The sequence below is a fragment of the Homo sapiens genome, chromosome 21, assembly GCF_000001405.40.
Source record: "Homo sapiens chromosome 21, GRCh38.p14 Primary Assembly".
In the NCBI taxonomy this organism is placed as follows: domain Eukaryota; kingdom Metazoa; phylum Chordata; class Mammalia; order Primates; family Hominidae; genus Homo; species Homo sapiens.
Genome location: NC_000021.9, coordinates 8,202,835 through 8,220,642, shown reverse-complemented (window position 1 = coordinate 8,220,642; position 17,808 = coordinate 8,202,835). Strand labels below are relative to the sequence as shown.

Here is a 17,808-nt window from a genome sequence, read left to right as displayed (position 1 = left end):
GACGGCAGCAGTGACTCCCTCTTAAAAGTCCCGCGGACGCAAACTCGCGGTGGGGCTGAAAAAAATGTAGGAGAGGGAGTTCCGCGTGGTCCCAGCTCCACGGCGGGCCGAGGCCGGTGGAGGTCGCGGGCGCGTGAACGGGAATCAGCGCCCTCGCGTCGGTGCGCCGCAGCGTCCGGCGGCCGCCTGCTGGTCGACCCGGGACACGTGCAGACGCCGGCTAAGTCCGGAGCTCGCGGGCGGCAGCTGGTCGACCCCGGAGGTGCCGACCGAGACGGGGACGCGGCGGGTCCGGCTCGTCCCGACGGGCACTCTTACACGCCGCTCGGTGGAGAAGGCCCGCCGGTCGACCCGGGGCACGGCGAGACAGCGGCTAAGTCTCAAGAGCCGAGAAGGCACCAAGGAAGGGGAGGGAGGGAGGGAGGGAGGGAGGGAGGGAGGGAGGGAGGGAGGGAGAGAGAGAGACACAGACAGAGACAGAGAGAGAGCGAGAGGGCGAGAGCGACAGAGAGAGAGAGAGAGAGAGAGAGAGAGAGAGAGAGACAGAGAGACAGAGAGAGAGAGAGGGCGAGAGCGAGAGACAGAGAGAGAGAGAGAGAGAGAGAGAGAGAAAACGAGCGAGGGAGAGAGCGAGAGGGCAAGAGCGAGAGAGAGAGAAAACGAGCGAGGGAGGGAGAGAGCGAGAGCGAGAAAGAAAGAAAGAAAGAAAGAAAAAGAAAGAAAGAAAGAAAGAAAGAAAAAAAAAAAAAAGGCAAGACAAAACCTAAAAGCAAAAAAGGAGGAAGCATTACTGGCTGACGGCAGCAGTGACTCCCTCTTAAAAGTCCCGCGGACGCAAACTCGCGGTGGGGCTGAAAAAAATGTGAGAGAGGGAGTTCCGCGTGGTCCCAGCTCCACCGCGGGCCGAGGCCGGTGGAGGTCGCGGGCGCGCGAACGGGAATCGACGCCCTCGCGTCGGTGCGCCGCAGCGTCCGGCGGCCGCCTGCTGGTCGACCCGGGACACGTGCAGGCGCCGGCTAAGTCCGGAGCTCGCGGGCGGCAGCTGGTCGACCCCGGAGGTGCCGACCGAGACGGGGACGCTCCGGTTGCGGTTCGTCCCGACGGGCACTCCTACACGCCGCTCGGTGGAGAAGGCCCGCCGGTCGACCCGGGACACGGCGAGACGCCGGCTGAGTCTCACGCCCGCGGGCGGCAGGCGGTCGACCCCGGAGGCCCGACCGAGGAGAGGTCACGAGCGGAGGTCGGCCGGGTGCGCGGACGCCCCGTGGGGCCTCGCCGCCCGCCGCCCACCACCCGCGGTCTGCTGGTCGACCCGTGCGGAGGAGCGAGGAGGAAGGACGCGCGAGGGCCGGGACCCCGGGTGGCCGCCCCACCGGGGCCCGCGCGGCCAACCCCCGGGACGGGGACCGGCGGGCCACGGGCCCGGCTCGGCGCGGCCGCCTCCGCGGCTCCCAAACCACGCTCCCCGGACCCCGTCCCGGCCCGGAGCGGACGAGCCGCCCCGGCGGTGAACGGGGAGGAGGCGGGAACCGAAGAAGCGGGGCGCGCCGACCGGGGTCGCGCGCCCTCCCCCCCACCCCCACCACCACGCCCGCGGTCGGCGGGAGAGGCCGGGAGGGAGGAAGACGAACGGAAGGACGGACGGCGCCGGACGCGCACGCCCCGCCGGGCCCCCCGCACGCACGCGCGCGCGCGCGCGCGGACAAACCCTTGTGTCGAGGGCTGACTTTCAATAGATCGCAGCGAGGGAGCTGCTCTGCTACGTACGAAACCCCGACCCAGAAGCAGGTCGTCTACGAATGGTTTAGCGCCAGGTTCCCCACGAACGTGCGGTGCGTGACGGGCGAGGGGGCGGCCGCCTTTCCAGCCGCGCCCCGTTTCCCAGGACGAAGGGCACTCCGCACCGGACCCCGGTCCCGGCGCGCGGCGGGGCACGCGCCCTCCCGCGCGCGCGGGGCGCGTGGAGGGGGGGGCGGCCCGCCGGCGGGGACAGGCGGGGGACCGGCTATCCGAGGCCAACCGAGGCTCCGCGGCGCTGCCGTATCGTTCCGCCTGGGCGGGATTCTGACTTAGAGGCGTTCAGTCATAATCCCACAGATGGTAGCTTCGCCCCATTGGCTCCTCAGCCAAGCACATACACCAAATGTCTGAACCTGCGGTTCCTCTCGTACTGAGCAGGATTACCATGGCAACAACACATCATCAGTAGGGTAAAACTAACCTGTCTCACGACGGTCTAAACCCAGCTCACGTTCCCTATTAGTGGGTGAACAATCCAACGCTTGGTGAATTCTGCTTCACAATGATAGGAAGAGCCGACATCGAAGGATCAAAAAGCGACGTCGCTATGAACGCTTGGCCGCCACAAGCCAGTTATCCCTGTGGTAACTTTTCTGACACCTCCTGCTTAAAACCCAAAAGGTCAGAAGGATCGTGAGGCCCCGCTTTCACGGTCTGTATTCGTACTGAAAATCAAGATCAAGCGAGCTTTTGCCCTTCTGCTCCACGGGAGGTTTCTGTCCTCCCTGAGCTCGCCTTAGGACACCTGCGTTACCGTTTGACAGGTGTACCGCCCCAGTCAAACTCCCCACCTGGCACTGTCCCCGGAGCGGGTCGCGCCCGGCCGGCGCGCGGCCGGGCGCTTGGCGCCAGAAGCGAGAGCCCCTCGGGGCTCGCCCCCCCGCCTCACCGGGTCAGTGAAAAAACGATCAGAGTAGTGGTATTTCACCGGCGGCCCGCAGGGCCGGCGGACCCCGCCCCGGGCCCCTCGCGGGGACACCGGGGGGGCGCCGGGGGCCTCCCACTTATTCTACACCTCTCATGTCTCTTCACCGTGCCAGACTAGAGTCAAGCTCAACAGGGTCTTCTTTCCCCGCTGATTCCGCCAAGCCCGTTCCCTTGGCTGTGGTTTCGCTGGATAGTAGGTAGGGACAGTGGGAATCTCGTTCATCCATTCATGCGCGTCACTAATTAGATGACGAGGCATTTGGCTACCTTAAGAGAGTCATAGTTACTCCCGCCGTTTACCCGCGCTTCATTGAATTTCTTCACTTTGACATTCAGAGCACTGGGCAGAAATCACATCGCGTCAACACCCGCCGCGGGCCTTCGCGATGCTTTGTTTTAATTAAACAGTCGGATTCCCCTGGTCCGCACCAGTTCTAAGTCGGCTGCTAGGCGCCGGCCGAGGCGAGGCGCCGCGCGGAACCGCGGCCCCGGGGGCGGACCCGGCGGGGGGGACCGGCCCGCGGCCCCTCCGCCGCCCGCCGCCGCCGCCGCGCGCCGAGGAGGAGGGGGGAACGGGGGGCGGACGGGGCCGGGGGGGTAGGGCGGGGGGACGAACCGCCCCGCCCCGCCGCCCGCCGACCGCCGCCGCCCGACCGCTCCCCGCCCCCAGCGGACGCGCGCGCGACGAGACGTGGGGTGGGGGGGGGGNCGCGCCGGCGCCCGCCGGGCTCCCCGGGGGCGGCCGCGACGCCCGCCGCAGCTGGGGCGATCCACGGGAAGGGCCCGGCTCGCGTCCAGAGTCGCCGCCGCCGCCGGCCCCCCGGGTGCCCGGGCCCCCCTCGCGGGGGACCGTGCCCCCGCCGCCGGGGCCCCGCGGCGGCCGCCGCCGGCCCCTGCCGCCCCGACCCTTCTCCCCCCGCCGCCGCCCCCACGCGGCGCTCCCCCGGGGAGGGGGGAGGACGGGGAGCGGGGGAGAGAGAGAGAGAGAGGGCGCGGGGTGGGGAGGGAGCGAGCGGCGCGCGCGGGGTGGGGCGGGGGAGGGCCGCGAGGGGGGTGCCCCGGGCGTGGGGGGGGCGGCGGCGCCTCGTCCAGCCGCGGCGCGCGCCCAGCCCCGCTTCGCGCCCCAGCCCGACCGACCCAGCCCTTAGAGCCAATCCTTATCCCGAAGTTACGGATCCGGCTTGCCGACTTCCCTTACCTACATTGTTCCAACATGCCAGAGGCTGTTCACCTTGGAGACCTGCTGCGGATATGGGTACGGCCCGGCGCGAGATTTACACCCTCTCCCCCGGATTTTCAAGGGCCAGCGAGAGCTCACCGGACGCCGCCGGAACCGCGACGCTTTCCAAGGCACGGGCCCCTCTCTCGGGGCGAACCCATTCCAGGGCGCCCTGCCCTTCACAAAGAAAAGAGAACTCTCCCCGGGGCTCCCGCCGGCTTCTCCGGGATCGGTCGCGTTACCGCACTGGACGCCTCGCGGCGCCCATCTCCGCCACTCCGGATTCGGGGATCTGAACCCGACTCCCTTTCGATCGGCCGAGGGCAACGGAGGCCATCGCCCGTCCCTTCAGAACGGCGCTCGCCCATCTCTCAGGACCGACTGACCCATGTTCAACTGCTGTTCACATGGAACCCTTCTCCACTTCGGCCTTCAAAGTTCTCGTTTGAATATTTGCTACTACCACCAAGATCTGCACCTGCGGCGGCTCCACCCGGGCCCGCGCCCTAGGCTTCAAGGCTCACCGCAGCGGCCCTCCTACTCGTCGCGGCGTAGCGTCCGCGGGGCTCCGGGGGCGGGGAGCGGGGCGTGGGCGGGAGGAGGGGAGGAGGCGTGGGGGGGGGGCGGGGGAGGACCCCACACACCCCCGCCGCCGCCGCCGCCCTCCGACGCACACCACACGCGCGCGCGCGCGCGCCGCCCCCGCCGCTCCCGTCCACTCTCGACTGCCGGCGACGGCCGGGTATGGGCCCGACGCTCCAGCGCCATCCATTTTCAGGGCTAGTTGATTCGGCAGGTGAGTTGTTACACACTCCTTAGCGGATTCCGACTTCCATGGCCACCGTCCTGCTGTCTATATCAACCAACACCTTTTCTGGGGTCTGATGAGCGTCGGCATCGGGCGCCTTAACCCGGCGTTCGGTTCATCCCGCAGCGCCAGTTCTGCTTACCAAAAGTGGCCCACTAGGCACTCGCATTCCACGCCCGGCTCCACGCCAGCGAGCCGGGCTTCTTACCCATTTAAAGTTTGAGAATAGGTTGAGATCGTTTCGGCCCCAAGACCTCTAATCATTCGCTTTACCGGATAAAACTGCGTGGCGGGGGTGCGTCGGGTCTGCGAGAGCGCCAGCTATCCTGAGGGAAACTTCGGAGGGAACCAGCTACTAGATGGTTCGATTAGTCTTTCGCCCCTATACCCAGGTCGGACGACCGATTTGCACGTCAGGACCGCTACGGACCTCCACCAGAGTTTCCTCTGGCTTCGCCCTGCCCAGGCATAGTTCACCATCTTTCGGGTCCTAACACGTGCGCTCGTGCTCCACCTCCCCGGCGCGGCGGGCGAGACGGGCCGGTGGTGCGCCCTCGGCGGACTGGAGAGGCCTCGGGATCCCACCTCGGCCGGCGAGCGCGCCGGCCTTCACCTTCATTGCGCCACGGCGGCTTTCGTGCGAGCCCCCGACTCGCGCACGTGTTAGACTCCTTGGTCCGTGTTTCAAGACGGGTCGGGTGGGTAGCCGACGTCGCCGCCGACCCCGTGCGCTCGCTCCGCCGTCCCCCTCTTCGGGGGACGCGCGCGTGGCCCCGAGAGAACCTCCCCCCGGGCCCGACGGCGCGACCCGCCCGGGGCGCACTGGGGACAGTCCGCCCCGCCCCCCGACCCGCGCGCGGCACCCCCCCCGTCGCCGGGGCGGGGGCGCGGGGAGGAGGGGTGGGAGAGCGGTCGCGCCGTGGGAGGGGTGGCCCGGCCCCCCCACGAGGAGACGCCGGCGCGCCCCCGCGGGGGAGACCCCCCTCGCGGGGGATTCCCCGCGGGGGTGGGCGCCGGGAGGGGGGAGAGCGCGGCGACGGGTCTCGCTCCCTCGGCCCCGGGATTCGGCGAGTGCTGCTGCCGGGGGGGCTGTAACACTCGGGGGGGGTTTCGGTCCCGCCGCCGCCGCCGCCGCCGCCACCGCCGCCGCCGCCCCGACCCGCGCGCCCTCCCGAGGGAGGACGCGGGGCCGGGGGGCGGAGACGGGGGAGGAGGAGGACGGACGGACGGACGGACGGGGCCCCCCGAGCCACCTTCCCCGCCGGGCCTTCCCAGCCGTCCCGGAGCCGGTCGCGGCGCACCGCCGCGGTGGAAATGCGCCCGGCGGCGGCCGGTCGCCGGTCGGGGGACGGTCCCCCGCCGACCCCACCCCCGGCCCCGCCCGCCCACCCCCGCACCCGCCGGAGCCCGCCCCCTCCGGGGAGGAGGAGGAGGGGCGGCGGGGGAAGGGAGGGCGGGTGGAGGGGTCGGGAGGAACGGGGGGCGGGAAAGATCCGCCGGGCCGCCGACACGGCCGGACCCGCCGCCGGGTTGAATCCTCCGGGCGGACTGCGCGGACCCCACCCGTTTACCTCTTAACGGTTTCACGCCCTCTTGAACTCTCTCTTCAAAGTTCTTTTCAACTTTCCCTTACGGTACTTGTTGACTATCGGTCTCGTGCCGGTATTTAGCCTTAGATGGAGTTTACCACCCGCTTTGGGCTGCATTCCCAAGCAACCCGACTCCGGGAAGACCCGGGCCCGGCGCGCCGGGGGCCGCTACCGGCCTCACACCGTCCACGGGCTGGGCCTCGATCAGAAGGACTTGGGCCCCCCACGAGCGGCGCCGGGGAGCGGGTCTTCCGTACGCCACATGTCCCGCGCCCCGCCGCGGGGCGGGGATTCGGCGCTGGGCTCTTCCCTGTTCACTCGCCGTTACTGAGGGAATCCTGGTTAGTTTCTTTTCCTCCGCTGACTAATATGCTTAAATTCAGCGGGTCGCCACGTCTGATCTGAGGTCGCGTCTCGGAGGGGGACGGGCCGCTCGGCGGACGGACGGACGGAATCGCGCCGGCCCGACCGCCCGCCCGACGCTCCGTCGGGAGACGGGCCCGGCGAGGGGGAGAGGCGACGGGAGAGAGAGCCGCGGCCGAGGGCACCCCCGCGCCGCCCCGCCGGAGCGGGACGACCGGAGGGAGGGGCACGGGCCGGGGGCGGGACGGGCGCCGCACGCCCCGACCCGTCTCCCCCGCGGAGGTCGGGGGGACGGGTCCGAGGACGCGGCGCCGCCGCCGCCCCGACGCGGAAGTCGGGACGGGGCCCCGGCGCGGCGCGGCGCGGCCGAGCCGGAGGCGGGCGCGCGACGGCGGACGACACCGCGGCGTCCCGCGGGTCGCCGCCGGGGACACGCGAACCCCGGCGCCGCGGCCACGGGCGCGGCCGGGCGGGCCGCGGGGCGGGCTCCCGGCCCCGGCCGACGCGCCGCGAGGCGAGCCGGGCGGGCGGGCGCGCGCGCGTACGCGCGGGGAGGGCGAGGAGGACGGGCGGGGCCTCGGAGGAGGGGCGGCGGGGGAGGAGGAGGGGCGCGGGAGCGGCGGTCGGCCGGACGCCGGGCCGCCACCGGGGGCGGGCGGCGAACCGCGGCGACCGGGACGCGCTCCCCCGACCCTCTCTCCCCGCCGGCACCCTTCCCCTTCCGGACCCGCCTTCCTCCTCCCCCACCACCACACCGCACGCAACACGCCCCCACCGCCGACGACGCGCGACGACGACGACGACGGGCACGGGACCTTCCACCCGGCCGGGGCCGACGAACCCCGAACCCCGAGCCGCGCGCGGCGCGAGGGAGCCCCCCGAGGGAGGAACCCGGACCGCAGGCGGCGGCCACGGGAACTCGGCCCGAGCCGGCTCTCTCTTTCCCTCTCCGTCTTCGCGGGCGGCGGCGGCGCCGCCCTCCCCGTCTCTCTCAGCCGGGCGCGCCCCCCTCTCCCCCCCGCCACCCGACGCGTGACCACGCAGGGCCCGCGGGGGGAGGGGGAAGGGGCGGGCGCGGCGGCAAGAGGAGGGCGGACGCCGCCGGGTCTGCGCTTAGGGGGACGGAGGGCCCCCGGCGGGCCCTGCGAGGGAACCCCCAGCCGCGCACCCCGAGGAGCCCGGAGGCACCCCCGGGGGCGATTGATCGGCAAGCGACGCTCAGACAGGCGTAGCCCCGGGAGGAACCCGGGGCCGCAAGTGCGTTCGAAGTGTCGATGATCAATGTGTCCTGCAATTCACATTAATTCTCGCAGCTAGCTGCGTTCTTCATCGACGCACGAGCCGAGTGATCCACCGCTAAGAGTCGTACGAGGTCGATTTGGCGAGGGCGCTCCCGACGACGCACCGGGAGGAGGCCCTTCCTGGCGCGGCACGTCCCCCCGCCCCCCCCCAAGAGGAGAGGGGGTTGCCTCAGGCCGGCCAGACGAGACAGCAAACGGGACCGGACTCCGGAGAGGGGTCGGAAGGTTTCACACCACGGGGAGGCGCGCGCCGCCCACGCGGGGGCGAGCGCGGACACCACCCCACAGGCGCCCGGGGGTTCCCGCCCCCACGGCGCGGGGCGCACGCCACACGCGCGGCAGGCGCGCGACGGCCGCCGGGTAAAGCCCCCACCCGACGGCCGCCGCGGCGGCGGCGGCGGCGCGGCCCCGGCCGGGGAGCGGAGTCCGCGGTGGAGGCGCGGGAGGGGCCGGGCCCCTCCCGACGGGACTCCCCCGCGGGCCCACCACCGCCCCCGACCCACGGGCGGACGGGCGATCCCCCCAAGGGGTCTTTAAACCTCCGCGCCGGAACGCGCTAGGTACCTGGACGGCGGGGGGGCGGACGAGGAGGCGGGGGAGGGGACCGGCGTCCGGCCCCCGACCCTCGAGACGCCCTAGCGGGAAGGCCGGGGAGAGCGAGCGGGGCCGTGCCCGGCGGCGCGGAGCGGCGCGGCGGAGGCGACGGGAATCCGGCCGGCCCCGAAGACGGGGAGCCGGCGCGGCGGGGCCGGACGACGGGCCCCGGCGGGGAGGAGGGCACCGAGACCCCCAGACCCGCCGCGACGCCGCCGAGAACCGCCCCCGCGCCCGCCGACACCCACGCCGTCGGGGCCGCTGCCGGGGACCGCTCCCCGCCGCCCGCCGGCCCCACGACACGCGCACACCAACGACACGCCCTTCTTTCTCTTTCTCTCTCTCTCTCTCTCTCCCCCGTCTCCCTCCCGAGTTCTCCGGCTCTCGCGGCCGGCGGGGCCGGGCGGCGAACGAACGAGCGAGCGAACGAACGGGCACGCGGGCCCCGCCCGCGCACGCGCCGCGTCGCGGTGGGGGGGTGGGTGTGCGGAGGGAAGCGCGCGGCGGCGGCGCCGCCGCGGGCCTCGCCCTCCGGGCTCCGTTAATGATCCTTCCGCAGGTTCACCTACGGAAACCTTGTTACGACTTTTACTTCCTCTAGATAGTCAAGTTCGACCGTCTTCTCAGCGCTCCGCCAGGGCCGTGGGCCGACCCCGGCGGGGCCGATCCGAGGGCCTCACTAAACCATCCAATCGGTAGTAGCGACGGGCGGTGTGTACAAAGGGCAGGGACTTAATCAACGCAAGCTTATGACCCGCACTTACTGGGAATTCCTCGTTCATGGGGAATAATTGCAATCCCCGATCCCCATCACGAATGGGGTTCAACGGGTTACCCGCGCCTGCCGGCGTAGGGTAGGCACACGCTGAGCCAGTCAGTGTAGCGCGCGTGCAGCCCCGGACATCTAAGGGCATCACAGACCTGTTATTGCTCAATCTCGGGTGGCTGAACGCCACTTGTCCCTCTAAGAAGTTGGGGGACGCCGACCGCTCGGGGGTCGCGTAACTAGTTAGCATGCCAGAGTCTCGTTCGTTATCGGAATTAACCAGACAAATCGCTCCACCAACTAAGAACGGCCATGCACCACCACCCACGGAATCGAGAAAGAGCTATCAATCTGTCAATCCTGTCCGTGTCCGGGCCGGGTGAGGTTTCCCGTGTTGAGTCAAATTAAGCCGCAGGCTCCACTCCTGGTGGTGCCCTTCCGTCAATTCCTTTAAGTTTCAGCTTTGCAACCATACTCCCCCCGGAACCCAAAGACTTTGGTTTCCCGGAAGCTGCCCGGCGGGTCATGGGAATAACGCCGCCGCATCGCCGGTCGGCATCGTTTATGGTCGGAACTACGACGGTATCTGATCGTCTTCGAACCTCCGACTTTCGTTCTTGATTAATGAAAACATTCTTGGCAAATGCTTTCGCTCTGGTCCGTCTTGCGCCGGTCCAAGAATTTCACCTCTAGCGGCGCAATACGAATGCCCCCGGCCGTCCCTCTTAATCATGGCCTCAGTTCCGAAAACCAACAAAATAGAACCGCGGTCCTATTCCATTATTCCTAGCTGCGGTATCCAGGCGGCTCGGGCCTGCTTTGAACACTCTAATTTTTTCAAAGTAAACGCTTCGGGCCCCGCGGGACACTCAGCTAAGAGCATCGAGGGGGCGCCGAGAGGCAAGGGGCGGGGACGGGCGGTGGCTCGCCTCGCGGCGGACCGCCCGCCCGCTCCCAAGATCCAACTACGAGCTTTTTAACTGCAGCAACTTTAATATACGCTATTGGAGCTGGAATTACCGCGGCTGCTGGCACCAGACTTGCCCTCCAATGGATCCTCGTTAAAGGATTTAAAGTGGACTCATTCCAATTACAGGGCCTCGAAAGAGTCCTGTATTGTTATTTTTCGTCACTACCTCCCCGGGTCGGGAGTGGGTAATTTGCGCGCCTGCTGCCTTCCTTGGATGTGGTAGCCGTTTCTCAGGCTCCCTCTCCGGAATCGAACCCTGATTCCCCGTCACCCGTGGTCACCATGGTAGGCACGGCGACTACCATCGAAAGTTGATAGGGCAGACGTTCGAATGGGTCGTCGCCGCCACGGGGGGCGTGCGATCGGCCCGAGGTTATCTAGAGTCACCAAAGCCGCCGGCGCCCGCCCCCCGGCCGGGGCCGGAGAGGGGCTGACCGGGTTGGTTTTGATCTGATAAATGCACGCATCCCCCCCGCGAAGGGGGTCAGCGCCCGTCGGCATGTATTAGCTCTAGAATTACCACAGTTATCCAAGTAGGAGAGGAGCGAGCGACCAAAGGAACCATAACTGATTTAATGAGCCATTCGCAGTTTCACTGTACCGGCCGTGCGTACTTAGACATGCATGGCTTAATCTTTGAGACAAGCATATGCTACTGGCAGGATCAACCAGGTAGGTAAGGTAGAGCGCGGCGAGGCCCCGACGCGGCCGGACGGCCGGCCGGGGGGCCTCGCGAGGACGGGCCCGGCGCCCCGCAAGCGAGGAGGACGACGGACGGACGGACGGACGGGCCGCGGACGGGCGGACGGGAGGGAGCGAGCGGGCGCGGGGGCGGCGGCCGGGACCGGTGGGGCCGGGGCGGGGCGCGGGAACCGGACGCCCCAACCACCCGCCCCCCACGCGACACGACCACCGGGGCCCCGCGCCACAGACCCGCGACGCTTCTTCGTCGGCCCGCCCGCGAGGAGGCGGACGGCCCGACCCGCGCCCGGCGGCCGGGAGGGACCGGCGGCCACGCGCGCGCGCCCCGGCGCCCGCGGGCGCGCGAGGCGGGGACGGCGCTCCGCCGCCCCGCGGCGCCCCGACGTCCGGGCGGCGAGCGAGAGGCGGACCGCGGTGCCCGGCCCGGGGACAGTCGCGCCGTGCGGCCGCAGCGCCCGCGCACCGGTCCGGTCGAGGGCCCGGGGCCGGCCGAAGCCCGGCTCCGAGCCCCGCCGGCGGGCGCGGGCGCAGGGGTGGCACACGCCACACGACGGCCAAGGGAGGGCGACCGAGGCCGGCCGGCGCGCCCGCCCCCGCCCGGGACGGGGGACCGCGACCGGGGCCGAGGCCCCGGCCCGGGCCCCACCCCCCGACCCGGGGAGAGGGCGAGCGACCGGCAAGGCGGAGGTCGACCCACGCCACACGTCGCACGAACGCCTGTCCGGGAGGGACCACCGGGCCGCGCTCGGGCGCACGCGCGCGCCGAACGGGGCGACGCCACGCGGGGAGGACGGGCTCTCCCCGACGCCGACGCCCGGGACGGACGCCTCGGGGAAGGGCCGCGGCAGGCCCGGGAAGCGAGGCGCACCCGGGGGACGCGCCGACCCGGTTCGGAAGAGCGGGCCGGGAGAAGACGAGAGACCACGGGCGAGGCCGGGGCGACGGGGAAGGCGCGAGAAAGGCGGCCGGCGGGGAAGGGGACGCCACGGGGACCCCTCGAGCGCGGCCGACCGCAGCCGGGACACACGCGCGGGGCCTCACCGCCGCCGGCGGCACCGCGCGGCACCCGGGGCGGCCGACCGGCCCTCGGCGATCCCCGCGGCTCCCCCCACCACCGCCGCCGCAGTCGCGGCCGGTCCCCCGGAACCGTCTCCTCCCCCGCACGCGCCGCAGGCCGACCCCCGGAACCCTCCGGGAAGCCCACCGGGCCCCACGCGGGGCGCCACCGACCCGGTCCCCAAGGCGCGCGCCGGGGGACGCGGACGCCGGGCCGATCAGTGGCCGGCGGCGGCGCCCCACGAGGCGGTGCCGGGTTCGGTCCCAGGCGGGGCCACCAACGGACGTGAAGCCGGTGAGCCGCTCGGGGGGAAGAAGAGGATCGGCGGGCGGCGGGCGGGGAAGAGGGCACAGACGGGCGAGGGCCGGGGACCGCGAGGGCAAGGGCACCCGGGAGCCCGCAGAGGCGGCGGCTCCGGGAGAAACCTCAGGCACGGCCGGGCCACCAGGAAAACACGGCCGCGGGATCCCACCGCCACAGACACGAGGGCGGTCCCGCGGCGCCCCGCCTGGGACGCCGGACGGCCCTCGGCCCCCACCGAGAACCGCCTCGCGAGCCCCGGGGCCCCGCCACCGGGGGCCCCGGAGCGACCGCAGCCACGAACCCGACACGCCACCACCACCGTCGCTCGTGATTCTCGTCCATCCTCCGACCCGGTCCCGCTCCGGGAGACCGGCGCGCCCCCACCGTGGGACGCTTTCCCAGGGCCAGGCGGGCCCGACCCCGTGCCACGCAAACGCGGTCGTCGGCACCGGTCACGACTCGGCACGGGAGCGGGCGGAGAGCCGACTCGCGGCGGAGGGAGTCACGCGCCGGACAGAGCGCCGGGCGCGCACACCCACCGCCCGCCGGCCGCCGCGTCCCAACCCGCTGGGACGCCGGGCCCGGCCCGGCGGGATCCTCCCCCGACTCGGAAGGGGGAGGCGCGGGCCACAGTAGGCGACGAGCCGCACTCGGCCACCACCGCGGTGGCCGGCGGAACCCTCGCTTCTCCCCCCCAACCCCGTCGAGGGGGAAGCGGAGGAGGGTCCTCTGCGAGCGGGTCGCTACGGCAGCGCTACCATAACGGAGGCAGAGACAGAGGCGGCGGCCCGGGGGATCCGGTACCCCCAAGGCACGCCTCTCAGATCGCTAGAGAAGGCTTTTCTCACCGAGGGTGGGTCACACTCCCCCCACCCGCCAGCCGCTCCTCCTCGGGCCCGCAGAGGCGCCGAGGGACGCCTGGGGAAGGGAGGGGGCCCTGCGGTACGAGGAAACACCTGCGCGCGGCCACCTCGAGCGTTCGCGTTCAGGGCGGGGGCCCGGCCGGTGCGCGCGTGCGCGCAACCCCACCAGGCCCCCCCGTCCACCCACCTCCTTCCTTCCGAGGCAGAGCGCCTCCGAAGTCAACCCACACACGACCGGTCGGAGGCAGAACGGCAGCCCCTCGGCGGCCGGCCGGCGCACGCGTCACACCGGCCCGAACCCACCGCGATCGCTCACACGGCCCGCGCGCACCCGCCAGAGGGGAGCACGGGACGTGCGCTCACCGAGAGCAGGCGGGCGCCCTTCCCCGCGTGGGAGGGGCGCGTCTCGTCTCGTCTCACTCAAACCGCCCCGAACCCCACACCGACGAGCTCCCTCAGGACCCACGCGCGGACACCGCGGCGGCGACCGGAGGAGGGGGCGCCGGGGGCGGGAACGACACACCACCGTTCGGCCTCGGGCACCTGAGGGACAACCCGGAGCGCTCCAGGAGCACCGCAAGGGCCCAGGCGGAGCCGACGCTCGCGCAAACCCCCCGAGAGGGCAGCACGACGGGCCGGCGGGACGGCACCCCCACCGCCGCGGAGGGGGGCCGCCCGCAAGTCGACAACCACTGGAGGCGACAGCGAGGGCTGTCTGCCGCGTCAGAGGACCCCGCCGGCCCGCACCCGCGACGCAGAAGGCGGCGGGCGGGACGGCGAGGTCGGGCCGGGGTCCGCACCCCACGCCTTCCCACACGCACCGCCGGCGGGCGGGGAGAGGAGAGACGAGGGGACCCCCGCGGGGCGGAGCGAGAAGGACGGTCCCGTTCGCCACGAACGTCCGCCCCTCGCCCGTCGCGGCTCGGACCCGGCCCGGGAGAGCACGACGTCACCACATCGATCACGAAGAGCCCCCCGGGAGCGGAGGCCGGCCGGCCGGCCAGCGAGCCGATCGGCTCCGGCCAACCCCCCACTCCGGGGAAGGGGCGGCGGACAACCCCGCGGAGACGAGAACGCCTGACACGCACGGCACGGAGCCAGCGGGGTGGGGTTGTCGCGGCCGCCCCGGGCGCCCGCAGCGGAGAGCGCACGGGGGCACGGTGGCCCTCGCCGCCTTCCCCGCCGCCCCCGGGTGGGTCAGAGACCCGGACCCGGGCCGGCACCGGGAGTCGGGACGCTCGGACGCGCGAGAGAACAGCAGGCCCGCGGGCCCCGGCAGGCGGCTCAAGCAGGAGCGCGGCCGGCTAGCCGGGTCACCGGTAGGCCAGAGCCCCGCGCGCATCCGGAGGCCCAACCTCTCCAGCGACAGGTCGCCAGAGGACAGCGTGTCAGCAATAACCCGGCGGCCCAAAATGCCGACTCGGAGCGAAAGATATACCTCCCCCGGGGCCGGGAGGTCGCGTCACCGACCACGCCGCCGGCCCAGGCGACGCGCGACACGGACACCTGTCCCCAAAAACGCCACCATCGCAGCCACACACGGAGCGCCCGGGGCCCTCTGGTCAACCCCAGGACACACGCGGGAGCAGCGCCGGGCCGGGGACGCCCTCCCGGCCGCCCGTGCCACACGCAGGGGGCCGGCCCGTGTCTCCAGAGCGGGAGCCGGAAGCATTTTCGGCCGGCCCCTCCTACGACCGGGACACACGAGGGACCGAAGGCCGGCCAGGCGCGACCTCTCGGGCCGCACGCGCGCTCAGGGAGCGCTCTCCGACTCCGCACGGGGACTCGCCAGAAAGGATCGCGGCAGAGGGACCGCTCCCCGGCACCCGGGGGACGGGGGCGGGACGGTCCCCGGCTCCCCACGGGGACTCGGAAACGAATTCGGCCGCCGCCTCAGACGGCCAGGATGAGCGCGGACCCGCGACCGGGCCGGGAAGGGCGTCCCCAGCCTCCCGCGCCACGCGCGGCGGGTCCCCGCGGGTCGCGGCTCGGGCCTCGGGAGCTACGGCGCGCTGGTCGACCGGCCCGGGCAGCCCCACGCCCGCCGCGGGCCCAGAAGCGCAGCGACAGCCTCTCCCCCACATAAACCTGCACGCCAGAGCTGTGACTCACAAGCGACGCGCCACAGCTCTGGCGCCACCGGGCCAGCCGGGCTGACGACCGCGGGCTTTCCGGAGCTCTGCCTAGCTCACAGCGGGGACGGTCCCCTCCCTCGGCAGCTGCCACCGCAGCTCCGGAAGCCGAGAGCACGATCTCAAAGCGGCCGCCAGATGGAGCCCGACAACCGCCGCGGACGTCAGCGAGACAGATCCGGCTGGCAGGGCGGCCCGTGGACCGCGAAAGCGAAACCGTGAGTCGAGAAGCTCTTCCCGAGGCCGAAAACGCAGCCCCTCTGCCCCAACCCCACACAAACGGTGCCCAAAACGCGTCTCTGCCTCGACCGCGACAGAGTCAGAAGACAACCCACGGCGCGTGGGTGTTTGGAGATGCCTCTCGGAAGCAGGGAGGGAGGGAGGGAGGGAGGGAGGGAGGGAGAAAGAACACACAAGGACTCGGTCGCGGGTCGCTGCAGACACACGGAGAGGCAGAATGCGTAGGCTCTTCCGGAATCCACGCAGAGACAGACGGGGGGAGGGGAGTGGGGAAAAGAGACAGATGGCGAAAGGGAAGGAGGGAGGGAAGGGAGCAGGGAGGGAGGGAGGGAGGGAGGGAGGAAGACAATGGAGAAAAGAGAGACAATTTAGAAAACGTAGATACACAAAGTAAACTTCTGAAACACTCCATTTTTTAAAAGACAGACGGGAAGGAAAGAAACACGAAAAAGAGAGAAAGAATGAGGAAAGAAACGAAGGAAAGAAGGGAAAAAGAAACAGAGAGGAAAGAAAAAAGAAGGAAACACAGGGAACGAAAGAGAAATAAAGCACGAAGGAAAAAAGGACAGAAAGAGAGAAAGAAGGAAAGGAAGAGAGGAAGAAAAACCTAAAGAAGGAGAGAAAGGAAGAAAGGAAGGAAGAAAAACACGAAGGAGAGGAAGAAAGAAAACAGAGATAACTACGTACGCTCGTTCATTTACACACATAAATACGACGCTTTTCATACGTAAAATAAACGTCTTTATCGACGATCCCTTCTTTATAGAGCGATGTGTATTTATTTGTATAACACAGACACCTACATCTATCATACAGAAGTCTATTTCCATACAACCGATACGTATTTACCATACGCAAGAGTATTCAATGCAGAGATACACGTTGTCGTTGTTTGCATATAAGCGTACAGAAACGTTTACATTAATACATATAAGTAAACGCGTGGAAACGAAAGAAATAAAAAAGCGAAATGAGTCAACAGGCCGGGCACGGTGGCTCACGCCCGTCATCCCAGCACTTCGAGAGGCCGAGGTGGGCGCATCACAGGAGGTCGGGAGTTGGAGACCAGCCTGAGCAACATGGAGAGACACGGCGTGCCTACTAAAAACACAAACATCAGCCAAGCCAGGCGTGGGGGTGCCTCCCTGTAATCCCCGCTAATCGGGAGGCTGAGGCAGGAGAAGCGCTCGAACCCGGGAGGCGGAAGGTGCGGTGAGCCAAGACCGCGCCATTGCACTCTAGCCGTGGAAACAAGAGTGAAACTCTGTCTCAAAAGGACGAAACAGAAAGAAAGAAAGAAAGGAAGGAAGGAAGGAAGGAAGGAAGAAAGAAAGAAAAGAAAGAAGGAATGAATGAAAGAAAAGAAAGCAAGAAAGAAAGAAAGAAAGAAAAAGAAAAGAAAGAAAGAAAAGAAAGCAAGAAAGCACGAAAGCAAGCAAGCAAGAAAGCAAGAAAACAAGGAAGCAAGAAAGCAAGCAAGAAAGAAACAAAAGAAAGAAAGCAAGAAAACAAGAAAGCACGAAAGCAAGCAAGCAAGAAAGCAAGAAAACAAGGAAGCAAGAAAGAAAGAAACAAAAGAAAGAAAGAAAACAAGAAAGCAAGAAAGCACGAAAGCAATCAAGCAAGAAAGCAAGCAGGAAAGAAACAAAAGAAAGAAAGAAATCGAGAAAACAAGAAAGCACGAAAGCAAGCAAGCAAGAAAGCAAGCAAGAAAGAAACAAAAGAAAGAAAGAAAGAAAGAAAACAGGAAAGCAAGAAAGCACGAAAGCAAGCAAGCAAGAAAGCAAGCAGGAAAGAAACAAAAGAAAGAAAGAAATCGAGAAAACAAGAAAGCACGAAAGCAAGCAAGCAGGAAAGCAAGCAAGAAAGAAAGAAAAGAAAGAAAGAAAGAAAGAAAACAGGAAAGCAAGAAAGCACGAAAGCAAGCAAGCAAGCAAGAAAGCAAGCAAGAAAGAAACAAAAGAAAGAAAGAAAGAAAGAAAACAGGAAAGCAAGAAAGCACGAAAGCAAGCAAGCAAGCAAGAAAGCAAGCATGAAAGAAACGAAAGAAAGAAAGAAAGAAAGAAAACGGGAAAGGAAGAAAGCACGAAAGCAAGCAAGCAAGCGAGCGAGAGAGAGAGAGAGAGAGAGAGAGAGAGAGAGGCTGGGCGCGGTGGCTCACGCCTGTCATCCCA

General features: G+C 68.6%; 6 non-coding genes across 6 annotated transcripts; all 6 read right to left on the bottom strand.

Moving 5' to 3' along the window:
- Window positions 1-1,340: 1,340 nt before the first annotated feature.
- On the bottom strand, window positions 1,341-14,655 carry RNA45SN2 (RNA, 45S pre-ribosomal N2). Its single transcript, NR_146144.1, has one exon. It is a non-coding gene; the product is annotated as an RNA, 45S pre-ribosomal N2 (ribosomal RNA).
- On the bottom strand, window positions 1,702-6,755 carry RNA28SN2 (RNA, 28S ribosomal N2). The gene has a single exon (NR_146148.1). It is a non-coding gene; the product is annotated as an RNA, 28S ribosomal RNA N2 (ribosomal RNA).
- RNA5-8SN2 (RNA, 5.8S ribosomal N2) lies at window positions 7,916-8,072 on the bottom strand. Its single transcript, NR_146147.1, has one exon. It is a non-coding gene; the product is annotated as an RNA, 5.8S ribosomal RNA N2 (ribosomal RNA).
- On the bottom strand, window positions 9,144-11,012 carry RNA18SN2 (RNA, 18S ribosomal N2). Its single transcript, NR_146146.1, has one exon. It is a non-coding gene; the product is annotated as an RNA, 18S ribosomal RNA N2 (ribosomal RNA).
- On the bottom strand, window positions 11,991-12,170 carry MIR3648-1 (microRNA 3648-1). Its single transcript, NR_037421.1, has one exon. It is a non-coding gene; the product is annotated as a microRNA 3648-1 (primary transcript).
- Window positions 14,656-15,236: 581 nt separating the features above from the next.
- MIR6724-1 (microRNA 6724-1) lies at window positions 15,237-15,328 on the bottom strand. The gene has a single exon (NR_106782.1). It is a non-coding gene; the product is annotated as a microRNA 6724-1 (primary transcript).
- Between the last annotated feature and the right edge of the window lie 2,480 nt (window positions 15,329-17,808).